A 24054-nucleotide genomic window follows, 5' to 3' on the forward strand; every position below is an offset into this window, starting at 1 on the left:
AGCACCCCAGCAGTTACCTTGAACCAAGAGGAAATCTTGAGGATAAAGCCATATGCTAAGAATAGCAATGCAGAGTCATAGAAGGTATCTGAGTCCCTGCTGACGATAGAACCACGACCCCTGCTTTGGAGAAAAAAATAAACCTTTGTCTGTTTAAGTCACTGTTTTTAATGGTTTTCACTATGGGCAGCCCCAAAATAATACTTTGATCTCTTCACAAATTTAGCTATTTCTCCAATTTGGCCAATGTATTATGTTGGTATACTTTGATCTATTGCTTCTCTTCCAAAGAACAGGGGCTTGCAGATAGACCCATCTGAGTTAAAGCCCAGCCCTGCCACTGTGACAGTGAATTCTTTAGGCACTGCTCCTAACCATTTTACCCTAAGTTTCTTTGTCTACAAACAGAGAATAAAAATAATATACACATTGGGGTGTTTGTTATTTTTCTTTCAACCTGCTTTTAAATCGTTAATAGCTCAACAGCACCAATAGGGAAACATTTGGGGAAAGGAAAAGGAGATAAAACTCAAACACGGGCTGGGCGCAGTGGCTCACGCCTGTAATCTCAGCACTTTGGGAGGCCGAGGCGGGCGGATCACGAGGTCAGGAGATCGAGACCATCCTGGCTAACATGGTGAAACCCCATCTCTACTAAAAATACAAAAAATTAGCCATCTCTACTAAAAATACAAAAAATTAGCCGGGCGTGGTGGCGGGTGCCTATAGTCCCAGTTACTCAGGAGGCTGAGGCAGGAGAATGGCGTGAACCGGGAGGCGGAGTTTGCAGTGAGCGGAGATCATGGCACTGCACTCCAGCCTGGGTGACAGAGCGAGATTCCATCTCAAAACAAAAACAAAAACAAACAAACAAACAAAGAAACAAAAAAACCTGAAACCCGGATATATTTTCTAACTTGTGAACAGCTCTTACAAGCAGTTTGGTGGATGAAAATGCATACTGTTTAAAAAAAAGTGGAAAAATGTCAATAAATTGGGCTTTAACAATTGACATTTTACCCTCCCATTCTCATGAATAACTGGAATCTGACTACACACATGTTACATTAGCCACTTGACCAAGGAAGAAGAAAAGCAAGAGAGAGAAAAGAAAGAAATAAATTTCAAGAACTTTGGCGCTAGCAGGATCAGTTGCCCAAAGTCCCCGGAATGGAGAAACATATGATTTATATCTTGTTATTTTCCATTTGGTTAAATTGACTCTTAATGACTTGAAATAGGTCCTTTCAAATGGAATTGCAAAAAAGTAAATTCTGCTCAAACTCTTACATTGTGTAATTTCATGTCTGCTCTCATGCACATTAAACTAAACTGGTTGGAGAAAAATCTCTTGCTAAATTAAATTTGGTTTGATCAGGAAATTTGTGTGCATGTGCAGGCAAAGCACAGTATGTGTGGGTTAAAAAAATGTCCTGCTTATTTAAAGTGTTCTTTTTCACGTATGATTCAGTTTTACCATAGCTTCAATAGTGAACTAAATTTGTGTTAATGTGGATCTGTGTTGTGAGTGAAATAGGCTTTGGTCCTTTGTTGGGAAATCACTCAAATAGTAGACATTTTGTCCTTTCTGAAGAAAAATAATACAGCCTCAAAGGCTGGAACATTTGAGCATCTTTAAATCCTTCCTTCTCCAGCTCCACATGACTCTTCTTGCCGTTTCCTAACGCCGTCATCATTTCCTTTTTCAAAAACCTTTTCCTTGCTCATCCCAGTCCCATTTCGCTCATCAGGCTCTAAAACGCAGAATTGGCCCCTGGGTCCCATCTGTCCTGGCCTATGTCCTTAGCTGTATTTCTGCCGCAATAATTACCTTCCACTTTACTACCTGACTTTTAAAATATACAATAACAAAATTCAAATGAAGTTGTTTCAAAGAATTTCAGGGCAAGGAAAGTGCTTTTTAGACGGTCAAAATGCCCTACTGCAATAACACAGGTACAGGGCCCATTATTTCATAGTTCTTGCCCGTTGAAAGCAAAAAGACTGAATTCACAAGTAGCCTGTTTGACAGGTACCACTGAAGGCCTTTCAACCTCAGTCACCAGAAGTTCCACTCTGCTAAGATATATGAGAAGTCTGCATTTTATAGGGCATTTAAAAAGCAGTCAGATGAGTAGGAGCAAAGGATTAAAAAAAATTATGAAGAATTTGAATTTGATGAATATTTTTAAAAGCACATGTTAAAGTAATGCATGACAAAAATGAGGTTTATATCAGTGAAGTAGAGATTACTGAACAACATAAAATCCCAAATTAAAGAAAGGCATCTTTGGGATCCCCGCAGGATGGGGCCTCACTATGGCATCTCATTTCCCCAGGCAATGAGCAATATGGTCTTGGATGGAGAGCCAACAACAACCAATTACATGCTCAGCGCCTCCAGAGGGCCCCAAGCTTATTTTCATCTTTCCTCTCTTTCACAGTATTCCTGATTGCATCGAAATTCTGGAAAGGGGCTCAGGAGGGACATTTCTTTTGGGGGAGTGGCTGAAGCTAAGACTATCCATAACTCTTAGGGTGAGTTCAGATCAGTGTGACCCTGCAGAACCATCCTGAATGTGCCAGACCTGGACCATGTCTTTCTGTACAATCTTAGGAGGCAAAGTCCAGCATAGTTAAAAGCGTAGAATTCCATGTCACCTGGCTTATTAAGGAAATAATATACACCAGAATGGGTATACAACATGTGTAACGTTTGTCACGTGTTTCTCACTTACGGAATTCTTTATATACATGGAAATGGATAGAGAAGCCCAATACCTAAACAGATAAAAGTCCAGCTGCATGTTGGGTGGTGACCCAGATGGTCTCTCCCCACCAGCACTCCTCCCAGCACAGACTTTTAAGGGGCTTCTCAGAGCCCTAAAAGCTCAGAGGACCCCATCTGGAATATGGTGCCTCTCTAAACCTCCTGGGAGCTACACACTGGGAGGGCAATGATTCTTGGCCTCTGTGGTCAGCGGAATCAAATATTGTCCTCTGAATCTCTACTCCCAGAACTCCCAGGTCTCACATCTTAGCCACGTTACAGGTTTCATTGCTTGGAATTCCTTGAGAGTTTTTTCCTTCTGGATTTGGTGATTATTGAACAAAAAATATTAGAACAGCATGATTTTCAATCTTCAGAAACTCTGCGTAATGACTTTAGACTGGATCCAATAAACAGCCCACATAGCTTTAAGGACATTGATCAAACTCAAATATTTGGCTACAGTATTTTCATTCACTAAATGCCGAATTTATGTTTTCTTTATTTTCCTCTTTGTTTTTATTTTTAATGGAAGTACAATTTATATAAAGTAAAATGCACAGGTGAGTTTTAACAGATGCCAGGTAGCCCACGGTTCTATAAACATTTCCATCACTCTAGAAAATTCCCTCATGCCCCTTGCCAGCCAATCCTCTCTTCTCCCCAAGGTAATCACTATTTTGATTCTTACCACCACAGATTAGTTATTCCTTTTCTAGAACTACATAAAATGAATTAATACAGTGTTCATTCTTTTGTGTCTAATGCCTCAGGTTTTCAGCATTTATAGAAATCTCTTCTTAGTTTCCTTATCTGTAAATTGAGGAGAATGCCTTGTAAAAAGAGTGTGCAAGTATTGGGAGGTGCCCCCAGTTTCCTGGTGGGAATGGAAGACCTCTGAGGTCACCTTGATTGAGGTGGGATGAAGAAGAGGCTGGGGACTGGGGTTGCAGGAGCCTTCTCATCTTTAAACAGAACAGCTGTCCTTTTCCATGCTTTACAAATTGGGGGCCACTGGAAGATTTCCAATGGGAAAAGGAGAGGGCTATTTGTAAAGATGAAAAACACTTAGAGAACCATAGGTCTTGAAGATTCTTAGTGATCTCTTTTTCTTGAACATTCTATAAATTACAAATAGTGTTTTTTGATATGAGAACTATGGCTGGTCCTCTCTAGGGAGGGCTGGGAGACAGAGGCAGCCAGACAGGGGGCCCCAAGGGAGGGCCTGGGCACTGAGTGCTGTAATACTAGCACTGGTTACAATCAGATAGCACCACCCCAACCCAGGCGCCTCGACAATAGGCCAGAGGCCATGGGCAAGAGGAGGCACAAAGACAGCATTCAAAAGGCCTGGCTCCCGCAGCCAGTGAGCATTTCTATAGACTCTGCCAGATCCTGACCAAGCCTGAATGTCACCTTATTACCAAAAAGCCATTTTTCCATAGTTTTTAAACTGCTAAAAATAATAAACACAGAAAGGAAAGTTCTGACACAACCTTATATGCAGAGATAAACTGAAACTGTGTTGTTATAATAATGAAAACAAACTGGATCCTAAATTATAACCCAGTGATCTGAATGGTTGCTTGATATGACCACATACCTCAGGACTGAAAGGCAAATTCAGAAGACTTGCTAGTCAAGTGGATCTTTACTGCACAGGTGCTTGTACCCTATCTGACTCGCTGGAACCAATGGGTTATCTAATTCTCATGCTTTTTTTTTTTTTTTTTGAGATGGAGTCTCACTCTGTCGCCCAGGCTGGAGTGCAGTGGCGTGATCTCTGCTCACTGCAAGCTCCGCCTCCTGGGTTCACACCATTCTCCTGCCTCAGCCTCCTGAGTAGCTGGGACTACAGGCGCCCACCACCACGCCTGGCTAATTTTTTGTATTTTTTAGTAGAGACAGGGTTTCACCATGTTAGCCAGGATGGTCTCGATCTCCTGACCTCATGATCCGCCTGCCTTTTTAGCACTCAAGGAAAAGACACATGGGAAAGGATTGTTGGATCTTCACTGAGCACAATTTTCTGGCATAACAAGTGAAAATGGGCTCTTTTCTCTCACTGCCCTGTTACTCTTCTTTTCTCGAGTGAATCAGTATCATTGCTTTTCTGTTATGTTTTTAGTTCATTTAATGCTTTATATTTTTTCGGAATACCTATAGAGTTCAAAACTACATTAAATAACAACAGCAGCAACACTACACATTAGGAGATAATTCCAATAATGCTAAAAAGGGACAATTAATAGCAAAGATCACAAGTCTGCAAATAGTCAAGCTGACATCTGACCTTCTTATTCATTAAATCATGTGTGGAACTTGGCACCCACGCAGGACAGCCAACCAGAAGGAAATCGCAGATCTGGAAAAAAGGAAACACAGAAGATAAATATAATTTGTTGTTTTAAAGTTTCCCAACATTCGATTAATCTACAACTGTTCTTATTTCTATGTTTAAATAGGGTCTGGTTTCAGAGCTATCTCTGATTTTGAATAGATGCAAATAGACTTAGATAAAATCTTATTCTAAAGGGGAGATGGTTTCAGGGAAAGGGACTCTAACACAAGGACTGTAAGAACACATTACAGGCATGGGACAACTTTTGTGAATCTCAGAGATGTACATTTCTGTGGAGTTTTAGGAACAAGACCCAAGAGCTTTGGATTGGCAGTCTGGGAAGATGAATAAAAGGCAAATGTGAACCTCAAACTGTTTAGCCACTGTGCGTTAAAGGGAATCCTGCTTTATCTCAGTGGATGGTTCCTGGAATAGGTCTCAACATATAAGAGCTGCAATTGAGCTGTCGGGTGGGGCACTGCCATATGAACCTGTGGGGAAGCGATGGGTTCCTCATCAGGGTATGAATGTAAGCATGAAGCCATGGAGCTGTCTAGATTGTGCTAAATGCAATCATATGGTGAACACTTCTCCCAGGTACAAACAAGATGAGAAAGGCAGCCAAACAGACCACGACACCTGCCATGCCGCAGAGGATGTCGCCGAGTGGCTGCCTGCATGGCAAGTGACAAGCCGCTTTTCAACTAACTGCAGTCCTACAATTTTTGTTGTTGTTGTAAATAACGTAGAAATTTTAGAAAAACAGAGGTTAGCAGGGAAAACATCTGGGTTCCCACTACCCCAAATATAAACATTTTGTCACCTGTGCTCTAATTTTTTTTAATTTAAAAAAGGGTATATTTTAAAATAACATGAAGAATGCCTTTTTTTAAATTAGAAAAATTGGAGCATAGGTATAATCTCCTTGACAACCCCACACCAAGCCCAGAATGTGAGTTGGTTTGTATCTTTCAAGACCACTATTTTTCCTTTTTAACATTCACATACATAAATGCATATCGAAGGCAATGAACAATGTTTGTGTATTTTTAATTTACCTATATGATATGAATCTCTGTTTGTGTATCTTTTGTTCTACACTTTTGACTCAATATGATGGATGTGGGCTTGAACCACGCTAATCTATACCAGCTCATTCCCTTTAACTGCCACATTGAGTAAATACATACTCAGTTGTTGGCTTTTCACCCAATATCCAACGTTTATGGCTACATAAAAGCCCTTGTTATATCATTAAAGCGATTGTTGGTTATGTGTGGGTGTGCATATGTATGTGAGCATAAGCACATTTTCTCTGCTCTTGACTCTGGGCTTCTGAAGAAGCTGCCCTGTCTTGTTTCTGCAGTGGTTCTTCCACCCTATGACTCCATGCAGTGGACACTCAGTATGTTAAAAGGAAAAATGTATTTATTAAAATTGACTTGCTTATTACTAATTTTCTTTCCTTTTAAAACAACATTAAGGTAGACTTTGGAGTTGTATTTATTTATTTTCTTCAATATCTCTCTGCACCGCCCATTTCATAAACCTTCAAGTCCAAAACCTTTAACTTCACCTCACCATTTGGCTGACAGTCAGAAACTCTGATAATGTGCGGCTGAAGACCAAGGCAATTAAGAAGCTTATTCAAAGAGGATTCTCAAAGACTACATTAACAAAGCCAGGAAGGCTTGTGTTTGTAGCAGTTGTTATGACTTTATGGCAATTATGTATACATATACACCATTACCCCTGACATTAATATATAAATACAAAACTATATATATATAGATATTTTGGATGCAAAAATTGGACCTCAATATTTTTTTTTGAGAGTGTAATTTTGATTTAGGCTTTGAGCAATATATCTGAACTTGACTCTGTGAAAAACCTAAAAATTCTCATATAATTAATAAGTTTGTATACACAGCATTTATTAAACACACATTATGGACTGGGTTGTTCTAATTATTTTGTCTAATTTCACATAAGGTAATCCTCACAATGACCGTATGAGGTAAGTATTATAAATGACCCCGTTTTCCAGATGAAGAAAGGAGAGGAGAAGAGTTAAGCATTTTGCCCAAAGTCAAACAGTGCAGAAGAGGCCAGCCAAGAATCGCACCCAGGCAGTCTGATGTCATGGGCCTTGTTCTAAATGATTGAGAACAGATTTAGGTTTTAAAGATAAAACTGCAAAGAAGAAAATGAAACACTGTCACTGAGGTGGTTTCCAACTTTTGCTATAATACAAACATGCGGCATCTTTTTCATGCTGTGCCTCCAACCGAGAACAAACCAAATTAGAGTTCTTCAAGTAGACAAATTGAAAGTGATTTCCCAGTGATGAAGGAAATTTAAAGCAACAAGTTCAAGCCCCAAACCCTTCCAACTTAAACATACCCATTTTCAGTTCTTCTCTTTAGGAAACAGGGGCTGTGAATTTCTTCATGGCTCAAAGGAGACTGCCTAGTTTTGTTTACACAAGACTCAAAGCAAAAATGAGAATCACTCCCTGGGACAGCTTTAGCTCAGAATGTGTGTTCTTTGCACATTTTTAATTGGAGCACAAATATATTAACAGTGTGGTTATTTTGTAGTTTCAAAGGAATCTGTTTTGTAACTGATTCATATTTATATTTGGAATATAGTTATTTCTGGGCATGAAACAGTTCATTTTGTTAAGCCATCTGACCTGAGGTGAGGTTGGCACTATTTCCCATGACTGCTCCCAATTAATGCAAATTGAAGGTTAAAGGATAAATAAAGTCCCTTTAACTTGGTTTACTAATATGTTATTTATAAATGGCTCTTTACTGGCCTGTTTTTTGACAGTAACTTTGTATGAATGAAATTGCACAGAACAAACTAGCAAATACATAATGCATATTTTGTTGCAAAGCATTTAAAGGGTTAAATTTAAGTGAATTCAATTTTAAAGGGGTTAATATTAGAGCAAAATTAATTCCTCCTCCTTCTCCTTCTCCTCCTTCTCCGCCTCTTCCTCCTCCTCTTGCTCCTCCTCCTCTTCCTCCTCCTCTTCCACCTTCTTTTCTCTCTCTCTCTCTCTCTCTCATCTCTGGTTTTTCACTAAATCATATGAAGCCTGAGCTAGATTGATTGCATTGTATTAGTGGCCTTTTTTTTTTTGTAAAGTGCTTATTCATTCTTTTAAAGTTTTATTTTGACAGTTAAATAGTATCCCATAATATCACACTTATTGAAGGCCAGTGAAGTCTTTTCTTCTGCTATCCAAATAGGACTACAAAGCATAACACTGTGTAAGTGCCAGTTCTCACACATACAAGTTAAAATATGGAACAAATCTCAATAGAATTGGCCATTCAATGGGAATGCACATTTTACATTGTGATTGTATTTCCAAATTAGATTCTATAGAGGTTGTTTCAATTTATGTCTACGTCTGAAAGTCCTGTTTCTCCATATCTTTGCTAATATGTTATTAAACATTATATTTATCTATTTGATAGCAGATAAATGGAATCCTAGTTAGAATTCACATATATCTTGGGTAGGTAAAGCTGTAAATCTTCTGATACGTTTAAACATTATTTGTATTTCTTATTGTGTGAATTTTCCTCCCTGTTTCCTTCCTTCTTTTTTTCCTTCCTTCCTGCGTTCCTTTCAATGATTTGCCCATGGTTTTCTGCTACGTTGGTGGACATTTTTTTATTGACAAGCCATCACATTATATCTTCTAGAGAAACAAATTCTTTTTCTTTTGGCTTTGCTTTTGGGAGTTTTGTCAATATCTATTTTTTTTTTTCTAATTTTTCCCTCCTTCCCTCCCTCCCTTCCTTATTCCTTTCCTTTCCTTTCGTTTCCTTTCCTTTCTGTGGTAAAACAATTAACATGAGATTACCTTTTTTTTTTTTTTTTTTGAGACAGGGTCTCACTTTGTCACACAGGCTGGAGTGCAGTGGTACAATCTTGGCTCACTGACACTTCCACTTCCTGGCTCAAGCGATTCTCCTGCCTCAGCATCCTGAGTAGGTGGGATGACAGGCGTGTACCACCACACTCAGCTAATTTTTATATTTTTGTAGAGATGGGGTTTTGCCATGCATGTTGCCCAGGCTGGTCTCGAACTCCTGAGCTCAAGCGATCTGCCTGCCTCAGCCTCCCAGAGTGCTGGGATTATAAGCATGAGCCACCATGCCCAGATTATAACAAATTTTTAAGTACAAAATACAGTATTGTTAACAATAGGCACAATACTTTACCCCTCCCTGCATCTACCCTTTTATCATGTAACTTTGTAGTTCCTCTCACTGAAGAGGTTAAGTCTATTCTCCTGTGCTTTTTGATTGTGTTTTTGGCCATGTGACTTGCTTTGGTCAATGGAATGTTATCAGATATGCTGCATATAGAAGTCTGAAAAAGTTCTTGCTACATTTAAGTATTTTCTCTTGCTCTCCTGTGATTGCCATGAGAATATGCCTTAGACAGCTTGTTATGGATGAGAAACACATAGCAGAGTTGACTCACATCAGTTGTCTCCACCAAGGCCACCCCAGGTCAGCCTAGACCAGCCAAGTCCCATCCATATAAGACAGCCCAAGGAAGATGAGCAGAGTCACCTAGCTGACATACAGCTGACCACAAATGCATGAGTGAGCCCACCCAAGACTGGCAGAATCACCCAGCCAACTCTCATACTCATGAGCTACTGAATGCTAATCATTTCAAACTATGTTTTGTGGTAATTTGTTACTATCCCTGGTAATTCCAAATAATGTCATTATGCACTAGATAACTGATAGAGGGCTTATCCCTGTTGCGCTCAAAAAAAAAAAAAAAAAGAGAGAGATGCCTACATAGAAAATGGTTTAAAAAATTCAGCAAATATCCATCAAACACCAGCTGTATCAATCAGGGTTATCCAGGAAAACATAAACTGGTTTAAGTATTTAAACAGAAAGAGAATAATGCAGGGGATTGATTACGTAAGTGAAGGAAAAGATGTGAAGTCGAACAGGGGAGAATGAGGCATCCAGCAGGAAACCCCTAAGCTATCGAGATGAGAATGGAGGTGTTGATATTGGAGCCCTGGGGTGGGGGTCATTCAGCAGAAACTGAAAGCTTTAACTGGCCACTCCAGCAGGAACTGAAGCCACAGAGGAGACACAACTGTTGTCAGAGATACTGTCTGAGGCAGAGAGAGTGGAGAAGAAATACCCTGGCTTCTCCCTTCCTTCAGTCCTCCGATCTTCCTCCAAGGCCTTCCAATGGCTGAACCCAGAGGAGGCACATACCTCAGGAGGCAGCCCCTCAGTAATACAGAGGCAGGGCATGGAGAGGATCTGTGGGCAAGCAGGTGAATACACAGTCATGCTGTGCAAGGTACCATACAAGGTGTTGCTCAGTGCTTTTGTGACATCCTTAAAAATAAGAGAATCAGAAAAGATACAGGGCCTGAAGGTTAGAAAGGGCCCAACTAGGTGGAAATGAGGGAAAGAATGCCCAGGCTGCAGCAACTATAGGAGCGAAGTGCAGGAAATACCGAGGGAATAGCAAGTATTCTGGTTTGGCTTAGAAGGTTGTGTGTTTGGGAGAGGGAAACAGAGGTAGAGAATGGGTGATGAGGCTGCAAAGGCAGAAACAGTGCTACAGCTTGAAAGACTTGGTTCTAATCCAAGCAGATTGGACTTTTGTTCTAAAGGCAATGGGAAATTTAATGGCTCTGAGCAAAGGATAATATAATACCTGTTGTGCATTAGGAATATTAGCCTGATAGAAATGTGAAGGATCAATTAGAGAATGGCAAACCAGACTAGGGGTTATTAATTTAAGTGTAGACCTCAGGGAATTCACAACCCTCCTTAAGTAATTTGTAGAAGTTTGTTCGAGCATTCAATTTCCTGAGAGATGGTGCATAGCTGTTGCATGGATTTCAGTGGAGTCTATGACCTCTGACCCCATCAAAACTGTTTAAGCACCAGAAGCAAGGAAGTCATCTAGAAAGCTTCTATCATAATTTCTTTAATGAGGGTCAAAAACATAACAGTGGCAATGGAAATAAAAAAGGAGAAAATGGAAACATTTATGAGGCATGGACTAAACAAATAATCTAGCTGAACCTGAACAGAAACGAAACAAGCGCAAGAGTACTGAAAGGCTTAACTATGGGCAACATCCATCTGTTATTCTTTTTCTTCCTTCTATAAAATAGACAAAGCAACTCCTGTTTCCAAGATACCATAACAATTTACTAAACTAGAAAGTTCTAAGATAAACATAAAGCATATATATCATCACTGCCCATCTCCCATGTTCACCACAGAGATGACTAATCAATTGCAATCTTTCTTTACTACTGAATCCAACCACAATCTCCAAATCCTTCTCAAATAGCACCCAGACAGGCATTGCCAACCAGTTTAAGAAGAAACTTACATGCCATCTCTGCTGTAAGGCATTTTCTAGAGCTAGTATTTTTATTAATATTTATTGTATTGACTGTTCTTTAGTTTCGTAAAGATCTAGTACCAGTGAATGGGTATATTTGGCAGAATGTATTACATACTGATATATATATATTTATTTATATATTATATATTATTTATTTATATATTATATATTATTTATATATATATATATTTATTTCCCACATGTGGGAAATTTAATCACATACAGTTGGATTACTAACTAGGTCTTACCCAAGTTCATGAATCCATTTAATGTTAATTCAAAGCAATTGACACAGATTTTAACTAAGCTGAATTAGGAGGGAAAACTGTATTTACATGAAAACTTACTCTATTATACAATTATCATAGTAAAGTTTTAAAAACAGCACATGTCATCACAATCAACTATGAGCAACTATATTGTTTGGTAAATTCTGAACTCCAATCACTGGCAAGTAGGTGTATAGTATTGCCAAAAGCCACCTGTGTTTTAAAGGATGGTGACTTTTGGGTTGGCATTTGAATGTCACTATGGTGATTTTATTTCCTTGGGATGTTTTCTATCTGACATTTGAAAAGACATGTAATTTCAACATAGAACCACAATAAAGACAGATTCAGATAAGCCAAATTTGTTTTCTACTTGTAGTTGATCAACAAGAAAATTACTACTCTCTACATCAGCATGAAGACTTTCCCTGCTCCCCTGAACATCAAATTCTGACGTATGACCTGTTCAAACAGAAACAAATAACATTTGGAAAACTATCTATATAGAAAAATATTCTCACAAAATTGTAAAAAAAATCCTCTAATGTACTAAATTCCCAGCAGTAATTATTTGACCATGATCCACAATAAAAAATAATGTTTTAACCTGTAACACACATATACACAAATATGTAGGGATATATATATATATATCTCCGAAACAAAAGTTCCACAAAATAATATTCTTACTCCTGTGATACACTTGGATACCTTCTATTCCATTTAACTCTACCCTATTTTGTTCTATTTTATGTACTATTTCATTTTTTAAAAAGTTAGTAATAATCTGCTAAATTGATTTCATTACCCACTAATATAGCCCAACCACAGTATGAAAAACACTACTGAAGCAAAATGACTAAAGTACTCTGACTTTATTCACCAATGTAAACATATCCACAAAAGACCAATCCTGAGCAACTTAGCAGGGGAAAAAAAAAATCTCTTGGCTTGCTCCCTAGTATCCTGGATGAAGCCAAGGTTTGCTGAGCCAATTTTTGTAGTTTGTGGTTGACAATGACTGAAAACTGAAAGGCAGAGATCAAATCCTCACTTTCCCTCTCAACACATCTCTTCCGCTGGGTAATTTATACGGTGCAACTATCAAGCTATTCAATTTTGCTGTCATTTACTGTCCTTTTTCCAACAGCAATGGAAACACAGCATCAGTTTACTGTCTTCTCTCTTAGGTAGAATTAGATTATTGTCCCTCCTACCCCTTTAAACAAGGATGGCATTCACCACTTCAGAGAATCATTCCTAGAGGATCGCCAAACAAAGCATGGCAGGGAAACCACTATCCATGAAGGAGCAATAGCAGAATCTGGGGATTGAGGCTGTCAGTCAAGGTTATATACAAGAACAAGCTTTATAATGGTTCTTTTGATTGAGTGGACACAATTAGAACTGAAACAACATAATAATAAAAACAAATAGACACTTTAGGCATGCAGAGTGCAGCAAACTACTCTGTGCCTCAAGTTCCGTAATAGGACAATAACAATACTTAATTTATAGAGACGTGATGAGGATTAAATTAGTAAGTTCAATATTAAAAATGTATAAAGTGCTTAGAAGAGTGCCTGGCTCAAGAAAGCATGCTGTAAGTGTTGTTTTTATTATTATGCTGGCCCAGGGAATTGGCAGATATTGGTCTAGTTCTATGCTGAACTCAATACAAAAACCCAGGAAAAGAAGGGATGGTTCTAAGTGCCCCTAGAGTTATGCTCCACATTTAAAGTGTCAAACTGGGACACTTTTGAGGAGTGTTGGATTGGTTCATTGTATTGATTGTGGGGATGCTTTAACAGCGTATACATATGTCATAATTTATCAAATTGTATATTTTAAACACAATTTATTTTATGTCAATGAGACTTTAATAAAGCTAATAAAGTTTGCTTTATTTAATTAAAATTAAATAAAGTTAATAAAGCAGACCAAAACTAAAAGAATATTTAAAGAAGTATACTTCCAGTAGAAGGAGAAATATCCCAGATGGGAGCTTGGAAACACAGGAAGGAATGATGAACAACAGAAATGGTAAATACGCAGTAAATCTAAATGAATATTAACTACTTAAAACAATAATTGTTATATCTTGTGGGATTTAAAACATAACTAGAATTGAAATGTGAGACAATAATACAAAAGGGAGGAGTGGTAAGTAAAATTAAGTCCCTTGCATTTTCTGGAAAGTAGTCAAAGTCACAACTTATATTATATACTAATAAATTAATGATTCACTTTGTAATTCCTAGGGTAACCACTAAAAGAAGAGTAAAAGAATAAATGACTAACAAGCCAGTAGAGGTGAAATATTTCATTAATTCAAAATATGGTAACAAAGGAGAGGAAAAGGAACAGTAAATAACTGGGGCAAATAAAATGTCAAAGAGTAATATGATGGATTATAACCCAGATATATCAGTAATTGCATAAAATGCAGAAAAACAGTTCACAAAATCTACATATACTATATTATTTTTTAAATCCCAGTTAAATGCTGCTTAACTGAGACACTTTTGATATTAGGACACACAATTTCAAAGAAAAAAAGGATTGAAAAAATTACATGTAAATTATGTTAATATCAGATACTGTAAACTTAATGACAAGGGATATTACTAGAGATAAAAAAGACATTTCATAATAGTAAAAGAATCCAATAGAAAGATATGAGCGCTAAATCTGAATGTACCTAGTTATTAAGCCTCAAAATATATAAAGCCAACATTGCTAGAACTAGAAAAAGAGATAAGAAAATCCACAATTAATGTGGGAGGGTTTAATACACCTCTCTCAGTAACTGGTAGAACAGGCTATTAAAAATGAGTAAGAACGTAGATAAGGATAAGGTGATGAACACATTTGACCTAATTGATTTATAACATTACAGCCAACAATTACAGAATACACATTGAACATTTACCAAAATTTATGTGTTGATAATAAATGAGTCTGAATAAATTTCAAAGATCAAAAATCAAACATAAGATGTTTACTGACCACAGCATAATTAAACAGAAATCAATAATAAAATAACTAAAAATTACACAAATATTTGGAAATTAAGCAGTACCCTTCTAATTAACCCATGGGTCAAAGATTAAGCACAATGGAAATTAGACAATATTATTAACTGAAATAGAAGAAAACATGCCATCTCAAGTGTGTGAGATGCAGCTAAAGGTGTGAGTGGAGGGAAATTTCTATACTTAAATGCATGTATCAGAAAAAATGACAGCCAAGGATCTAATAAGACAGTCAATGATTTAAGTATCCATTTCAAGAAGCCCTAAAAATAATACCATATTAGGGTCAACAAAAGTGGAAAGGAGAAAATAACAAAGGTCAGAAATTAGTAATACAGAGAACAGAGTTACTGTAACAGAGAAAATCAATCAAGCCAAAAACTGGTTCTTTGAAAATACTAATAAAATCATAAACCTATAGCCAGATTTATTAAGATAAAAGAAGAGAAAGGAAAAATTACATAAAAATAATAAATAATAAAAAAAGAATAAAGAATTTTTCTTTTTCTTTTTAAAGAAAAAAACCTTTAAAATTTTTAAAAAATTTCTTTTTAAAGAATAAAAAAAAGAAATCACTATAAATCCTACAGACAATAAAAAGATAAGGGGATACATGAACACTTCATGGCAATATTTGAAAATGTCAATGAAATGGACACATTGCTTAAAAAAAAACCTTACTCAAACAGGAAAAAATAATAAAAATGTGAATGGTACTATACTCATTAAAGAAACTGAATTTGTACCTACAAATCTACTCACACAGTATTCTCTGGGCCTAAACTGCTGGAGAGTGAGTTCTACTAAATACTTAAAGGAAAAACCACACCAATTTTACATAGTTCATTCAGGTTATAGAAGAAGTGGGATCATGTCTCATCTCATTTGATGAAACTCATTTTATGAGGCCAGCATAGTCTTGATCCCGTAACAGTATAAGGGTATTATAAGAAAAGAAAATTATCAACTAGTATTTTTTATGAATTTGGAAGAAAAAGTAAACAAAGTGTTAGCAGACCGAATCCTGAGATAATTTTAAAAGGATAACACGTTAACGCAAGAGGGTTTTCTTTTAAAAATATAAGGTTGGTTTAATATTAGCTATCAATGTAAAGCACTCTATTGACAGAAAAATGAAAAGCATCTGGTCCTTTAAACGGATGCATTGATCTATTCATGATAAAACACTCAGCAAACTAGGTGTATGGCAAATTTTGAAAATGCCTGAACAGCCCTACAATAGATTGTGAACACGCCCTGCCCCAGTGACCAGGTTGTACTAGTGTAATAAGGCTGGTCCCTGCCACAAGTCCCCCTTCTTTCCTTCCCCTGAATGTCACCTAGTGACATTCAAACACACCAATGAAATCCCCTCATGCCTTTTCCTTGTATATGCCTTCCTGACCCACTAAAGAGGCACAGTTTGTAGGTCCTCACTCTCTTCGCTCCCCAGTTACTTAGTGAGCCCGCTCACCTGGCCCTTTTCCCATGCGGCCTTCTGCACGATGTGCTGTGCTTTCCTTTCTAGGACCTGCAAGCATAACAGATCATTTAATTGCATATGCCTCTCATAGTATTTCCATGGCCTTACTGAAGTGATCCTTAAAGACCTCACAAGGGGGATTTACTCTCCAATTTACAACACACTGGGATTGGAAGAAAACGCTCTCAATTTGATGAAACTGTATAACAAACATGCTAATGATGAATATTGAAAGTTTCCCCTAAGACTAAGAATAATTCAAGGATAATTTCTATAACCACCTCTATAAAACATTATACTAGAAATTGCAGGCTTTGCAATGAGGAAAAAAAAGACTGAAAAAGGAAGAGATAAAACTGTGGTTATTCTTTGAAATCATAATGGTGTATGAGGAAAACCAAAATATCCTCCAGATAAATTATTAAAACTAATAAGTTAATAAAGCCACACCACTGGATATAAGATCAACATATAAAAGTCAATTGGAATTCTATATACCAACGACAAACATTTAGAAAATAAAATTCAGTAAATTATACCATTTATATTGGCATAAAAATATCAAATACTTTAAAATCCATTTTTAAAAGATATCCAAGACTTCTAAATGGGAAACTACAAAACTTTACTGAGAAAAAGCAGAAGAGATCAATACATGATCATAGATTGGGCGCCTCAATATTGTAAAATGTCAATTCTCCCTAAATTAGTATATAGATTCAATATACAGTAATCCCTATCAAAATCTCATAAGTCTTGGGTTTTTTTTTCTGGTGGAAATTAGTAAACTAATTCTAAGATATATGTGAAATAGCAATGAGCCAAGAATAATCAAGGCAAAATTGAAGGAGAAGAATATTAGAGGACTTAACACTACCAGTTACAGGATTATAAATCTACATTAATTAAAACAGTATGCTATTGACACAGGATAGACAAATAGATCACAAGAGCTCCAAAGAGAGTACAAAAACAGAAACACATATACCATCATTAATCATTAAAGGTGACACTGCATTGTGGTGAGAAAGGGCATTGTCCTGAATAAATGGTGGTAGGTTAACTGGATACCCATATTGTAAAAAATATTTTTGTACCTCACTTCACATGATACAGGAAAATCAATCCCAGGTGGGTTGCTGGTAAAAATGTAAAAGGTGAAACACGAAATCCTCAGAAAGATAACATATGGGAATATATTCATGATTTGGGGGTAAACAAAGTTTTCTTAAACAGGACACAAACAGCATTAACAATAGAGGAAAAAAGAAATAAGTAAACAATAAATGTTAAAAGGAGGTAATAAAGGAAAAGGTAAGAAATTAGATTATATTAAAATTAGGAACTTCTGTTCACCAAAAGACACCATTATGAGAGTGAAAAGTGGGAAACAATAATTGCATTACAGATGACTTACAAAGGAATCATATTCAGAATATATATTGAACTCCAATAAATCATTAAGAAAAAGATAACCCAGTATAAAATGGCCAAAAGACTTGGATATTCTCACACAAGAAGATACTCAAATGCAAACCAACATATAAAAAGTGCTCGACCTCATTATTTATCAGGAGAGTGTGAATTTAAAACACAATGAGATATCTATACACGTCCACCAGAATGGCTAAAATTAAAAATACTGCCAATACCTAGTATTGGAGAAGATGTGAAGAAACTGGAATTCTCATACACTGTTGGTGAAGTATAATCATTTTGACAGTTCTATAATATCTCCTAAAGCTGAATACACATATATTATTAACCAGCAACTTCACTCCCAAACCTAACAGAAATGTGTACACGTGGTCACCAAAAGACCTGTACAAAAATGTCCATAGCTGCTCTTTGCATAATAATGAAAAGCTGAAAACAATTAAAATGTTCATCAATAGTAGAACAGATTAAAACTTGTAATACAGTGCAATTCAAGTCAGAAATGATAGAGTCTTCCAAACATAATATTGAGCAAAATATGCCAGACACAAGAAAGTATATTCTATATTAGGCCATTATATACAGTTCAAAACTAAGCAAAATTAAACTCTGGTTTTAGAACTCCAGGGAGTTCAGTCTCTCCTTTGGGGACAGGCTGAAAGCCGGTGTGAAGAGAGTTTTTGCTTCTTGTCAGTATTGCATTTCATGATCTAAATGGTGATCATATAGGTGGATTTGTTTTGTGAAAATTTGTTAAGCTGTATGCTAATGATTTGTGTACATCTCTGTGTGTATGTTTCATTTTAATAAAAAGGTTTATTTAAGGTAATTTCTTTAAGAAATATCAATACTTTTTTTTCTACTTAGCATTCATAAGAATACAAACATGTGGCAGGGAACAGTGATGGGACCTACAGCTTACATCAGGGAAAATTTCAGACATAACATGGTGCTGTCACCCTGCATGTAGTATCTATATGAAATGGTATAAAAGAGGAGGCTAAAAGAAACAGCATTAAGTTTTCAGGATTTTCTGTAAATACGCTGCTTAGTATGTTATTCATTTTTTTTTCTTGGTGAAGAATAGCAGAAATTTTTTTCTTGTGTATAGTTGTAGATCAGCACCCCAAATCATGCAAGAAATCAGTTTTTTCTCTTCCCATTGGCTTCTAAAAAACTCAGCCCTAAATTTGTGTATACCCTTAGATCAGTAGTTTTAAAACTTTCTTTGCCATGGCCACAGAGAGAAATTTTATATCATGACCTAATGCACAAACACACACATAAATCTGAAAGTTACGTAAAGGATATAATACCCTTACTTTGTGCAATGCCCTCCGATATTCTGTTCTTGCCTTCACATCCTAATCCTTTCAAAATGATGGGCACTTACTAAGATGGTTTCCCAGGCCATTAATGTGTTGCAACGAAGTTTGAAAAACATTGTCTTCTAGACAATGGTACATATTAGGCATTCAATAAAATGTTATTGAATGAACAGTGGTATGCATTTTGTTAATTTGGCCTAAACTCCAATTTGTTGTTAGCCTTGTTTTCCTTTGCCTTCTCACCTTTTGTTCTTATTTAGGTCAACTTCTTATAGTGTATGCATCTTTAGAAATTGTCTTAATCTTTTCCAGAACAAGTCCTTAAAACACACTCTCAAAGTCACACAGTAAATCAGTCAGAGCAGAGACAGGAGAGAAAAGGTCATCCCAAGGCACCCAAGGTGCTGGGAATGAGAAGCTTAACACCTGTAGGACAGACACTTCCTGTCCCACCTCTGTAACAATGTCTGTAGTGCTAGACACATGAGAGCAGATGGTGACCGGGACTAAGTGCCTGGAGCTCACCTCTAACCTTACAGGGAACCCTATATACTCTTGCTTTCCATGAAGTTCTCTTGCATTTCCGACAGATGGGAGAGAGTGAGCCAGCTCATTCTGAGAAACACAAAGACACTTTTTGGAAGAGGAACAAAGGGTTCTGCAACTGACAATGAAGAATGGTGTGAGCATCTATGTGTATCACTGTGATAAAGAAGCTCATGGTCTTGAGTTTCCTTTATCTCTCTTTTGAGGGTGTAAAGTCTTTCTCAGGCCATTGACATTTTGTGTCAACAGAAAAGCTAGCAAACATGTTGGAAGGAACTAGTTCAGGCATGTGAGAATAAACCTTATCTTTCTAACACAGGAACAAATTTAACCTTAATAAAACTTTTATTTTAAAAACATTCCTGTTAGTACTATTAAACAAAACTTCCATACAAAAGTTCTTGGATCACTTTTGGGCAAGCTGCCATTCTGGCTTATCTTCAACAACCAAAGAAACGAAAACATGTTTTAGGCCAAGCACCATGGTCCAGTTCAGTAATGCTGTCCCTATGAGGATAGGGCTGTGAGCTAGAGAAGAGAGGTGAACGTGACTGGTCATTGCTTTAGCTAGAAAGGGTCAAAAATGACAAGGAATGTAACAGGGCTTAATGGACCAGAAGCCAAAAATGCAGTCTAAGATTTGCCTTCACAGATGTCTACAGGAACATTTGTTTTAGCAGTATGAAATCAGAAGCAGCCTGCAAATTTCAAACCGGGGTGGTTGGTTTTAAAAGGTCTTTGCGCAGCCATTCAAACTCAAACCTACAAACGCACAATGCAAGAATTCATCACAACAAAATATTAAATGTAAACAGCAGGATGAAAAACTATACACACAAAATATGAATTCAACCATATTTTAAGCATACACATATACTACATATCCATAGAAAAAGACTTGGAAGAAACACTCCAAAATATTAAGAAGAGCTATAAACACTGGCTAGTGAAATTAAGAATGAATATTCAATTTCTTTTTTATTCTTTTCCTTGTTTTTCAAATTCCCACTTTAGGTATAGATTGCTTTGATTGCTTGATAAATAAAGCTATTTTTAAAAATGTAATACTATATTTCTTTATAAACTCTAGTTTTTTCATTCATTGATTGACAAATATCTGGATAAAATTTTGTCGATTTTCTCTTTAATGACAACTTCAGGGGTTAAATTGCAATTCAACAAGGAGAGCAGGCAGACTGAACACAAGAGTGAATCACATGCAGAGTAAAAGTGAAACATGGATTCTTACCCCCCAAGTATATTTGCATAAAGAAAAACCAACTTACAAAAAAAAAACCTCTTGTCAGAAACACTCTTTGTCTTGTATATTTTTTTCATGTGGGATGTGTAGAATAGTTTAAAACTGTAGTCCATAAGTAACGCTAAAGGTTTAGATAGCCTACACACAGTCAGTGTAAATGTCACACAGCCATGAATTGCTTGGTGTAGAGTTTCACAGTTCTACAGCAACTCATGTCACCCAGCTGGCTACAGGCAAAACTGAGCAATAGACAAATCTCTATAGACATTTGACAAGGAAATGAAGGTCGCACAAAGAAATGAGGCTGTGTATTCAAGCTAGGACCATAGACAATTCACTGTGAATTAGCAAGCACAGAAGCATACAAGTCAAATAAAGTGTCTTCATTTTTCATGTGGTTTCTAGTTACTTTGTCACTTTCCTGAACTGTGCAGGTCAGTGTGGATATCACCAAAGGCTCAGTGTTGCATTGCCAGGTGCAGGAAGGAAAAAGGCAGGTTAATCTGTTTTATCATTTATTTCTCTGACTTTATATATTAGGCGATTCCATATGATAAAAACAAAACAAAGCAAACAAAGGAAAGAAAACTCCTATAAAACTTTGTATTAATAAGCCCCTTAATTTTAAAAAATAGGTTTGTTTTTTATCTCTTAATCTAAATAATGCAATATTTAATAAAGCACATATGCATAGCAAATTTTAAACACTAAGATGAGGGCAAGTCATCTCAATCTCTTGCTAAGCATTGCTAAAATTAAAAAAATCTTAGGAGGATACTAAGTACATCATTTACAATATGGTAGTCTTGTGCCCTGATTTCAATTAAATGCTTCTATTAAGAATTTTAAAGGTTGCATAGTATTCCATGGGGTATATGTGCCACATTTTCTTTATCCAGTCTATCACTGATGGACATTTAGGTTGGTTCCATGTCTTTGCTATTGTGAACAGTGAGGCCATTATCCTTGGTAAACTAACACAGGAACAGAAAGCCAAACACTGCGTGTTCTCACTTATAAGTAGGAGCTAAATGATGAAAATACATGGACACATAAAGGGGAGCAACACACACTAGGGCCTTTTGGGTGGAGGATAGGAGGAGGGAGAGGATCAGAAAAAATAACTAATGAGTAGTAGGCTTAATACCTGGGTGATGAAATAATCTATACAACAAACCCCCATCACACAAATTTACCTATGTAACAAATCTGAACTTGTACCCTTGAACTTAAGATAAAAGTTAAAAAAAAGTTAAAGGAACTTCAAATGCTATCACAAATTGGACAGAAATATGTTTACTTTGGAAGAACACACAAAGCATAATGAGTGACTAGGATCTCACCATTGGGTTTTCTTGTCTATATTGGGAAAGCAAACTTTTTCAACATCTTAGAGTGTCTGCCAATCTTAGGCTAAGACATTGGCTACTGAATTTGGAACTGACACTTGGGCTACTGAGAGTACACACTGGAGGAAGGAGAAGGAAATCCGAATGGAAGGGTAGGAGGGGATGAGTTTCGGCTCTGTCTGGATTTCCACTCTCAAATAAAGGATTACTGTGTCAACTCATGAGTAAAAGTGAAGAGCAAACTTCTAAGTTAATTAAAAGAACTTGGTTTGGAAACAAGATTTTGAATCCCCCAAGGCTGTGAAGACTTTCCTTTCCATCCATCCTCCAATGAGGAGCTCACAGAAGGCTCAAGATAAAAAAGTGGATTTCTCCATAAATCCACATTGATACAGATAAATAAACACATGAGTAAACAAACAAACAAACAGAGGAGAAGGGAAAACTCTTCCTCAAGGCAGAATGGATATTAAAACTAGAGGTGAAAATTTAAGGAGGAAAAGACATTTGTATGGTCTCAAGGTATTTAATTTCACATAACATATATTAATTACAAAGAAGAAAATAGTAACTTTCCAATGAGAAAACCCAACAGACAGCACCTTAACCAAGTGATTAAAACTAACATCCTCAATAATGGAGTAAAGTGGCATCATGTGCTTCCTGATATGATGCACTGAGAAGGACATGAGATCATTAATGTGGTGTTTCCTTCCAAAGGCACATCACCTGAACATATCTTTGAGGAAATATTAGAAATACACACTGGAGACATTCTACAAAATAATTGGCTTGTATCCTCCAAAAATACCAAGGTCAGGAAACACAAAGAAAGGCTGAGGAAATGTTTCTGTATAATAAAGGAGCCTAATGAGACATGACGACCAAATGCAGCATGATATCCTGGAATGGATCCTAATTGGGAAAAAGAATTGTTACCAAAGACATGATTGGACAATGGACAAAATTTGAACAGAGGATGTCAATTCAATAATAGTATGTATCAATGTTGAATTTCCTGGGTTTGATAACCAGCCTGTAGTTATGTAAGAGGCTGTGCTTGTTCTTAGGAAATACACAACGAAACACTTAGGAATGAGGGCATAAAAGACAGTAAGGTGGCTGACAGAGACTTAGTAGTATAAAAAACCACAATTTTTCTACACTGTAATTCCTTCCTGGCTATACCAGAGAGATGCCAGTGAGGTCACGCCAAATGGGCAGTGAGGCTCAGTGCATTCACCTGAAGGCAGAAAGGGTGTACACAAGGTATACGTATATTAGTAAAAACACATGGCAGGGTCATCTGTGGGTCTGGAGGAGTTTCTATAATCTTAGCACTTGTATATCAGAGTCTGGCTTATCATGGAAACTCCTACAAATTAGCTATATGAAAAATACCTTCATTCTATTCCAATGGTTCCCCAAGTCTTAACTCATTCTGGCAACAACTCTAAAGTCCAGAGTCTCATCTAAATATCATCTAAATCAGATATGAGTGAGACTTGAGGTATGATTCATCCTGAGGCAGAATTCTTCTCCAGCTGTGAACCTGTGAAACCAGACAAATTATGTGCTTCCAAAATTCAATGGTGAGAAAGACACAGCATAGACATTCCCATTCCAAACAGAACTAGGAAAAAAGGAGAGGGTGAAGGATCTTGAGCAAGTCCAAATCTAGCAAGACAAATTTAATCAGACTTTAGGATTGAGAATAATCCTCTTTGGTTTGATGCTCTGCCCTTCTGGTCCACTGGTGTGGTGGTGGTCCAGCCCCCAAAACTCCAGGTGGTCCTGAACCGC

General features: G+C 36.9%; 1 protein-coding gene across 53 annotated transcripts in view, besides 2 other annotated features; it reads right to left on the minus strand.

The window, feature by feature from the left end:
- The window catches only part of THRB (thyroid hormone receptor beta), a 378556-nt gene that overhangs the window by 215084 nt on the left and 139418 nt on the right, over positions 1–24054 (minus strand). For 47 of the 53 annotated variants that reach the window (NM_001374822.1, NM_001374823.1, NM_001374824.1 and 44 more), the window contains one exon: positions 5064–5135. The gene's annotated coding sequence lies outside the window, so the exon portion shown is untranslated. Of the gene's footprint in view, positions 1–5063; positions 5136–16321; positions 16379–24054 lie in introns of all 53 variants that reach the window. The other 6 variants (NM_001354709.2, XM_047448805.1, XM_047448817.1 and 3 more) reach the window with 1 other exon arrangement.
- Positions 19880–20024: an enhancer, noted in NCBI's record as "145 bp enhancer 252 fragment used in the MPRA reporter construct; PK_construct_4097". NCBI's record gives its function as "activates an SV40 promoter by MPRA in HepG2 cells {active_cell/tissue: HepG2}" and the evidence as "EXISTENCE:reporter gene assay evidence [ECO:0000049][PMID:23512712]".
- Positions 19943–19960: a transcriptional cis regulatory region, noted in NCBI's record as "GATA motif; enhancer activity is reduced when this motif is scrambled, but it is unclear which activator is functional in HepG2 cells". NCBI's record gives its function as "necessary for full MPRA enhancer 252 activity {active_cell/tissue: HepG2}" and the evidence as "EXISTENCE:site-directed mutagenesis evidence [ECO:0005528][PMID:23512712]".

The sequence above is a fragment of the Homo sapiens genome, chromosome 3, assembly GCF_000001405.40.
Source record: "Homo sapiens chromosome 3, GRCh38.p14 Primary Assembly".
In the NCBI taxonomy this organism is placed as follows: domain Eukaryota; kingdom Metazoa; phylum Chordata; class Mammalia; order Primates; family Hominidae; genus Homo; species Homo sapiens.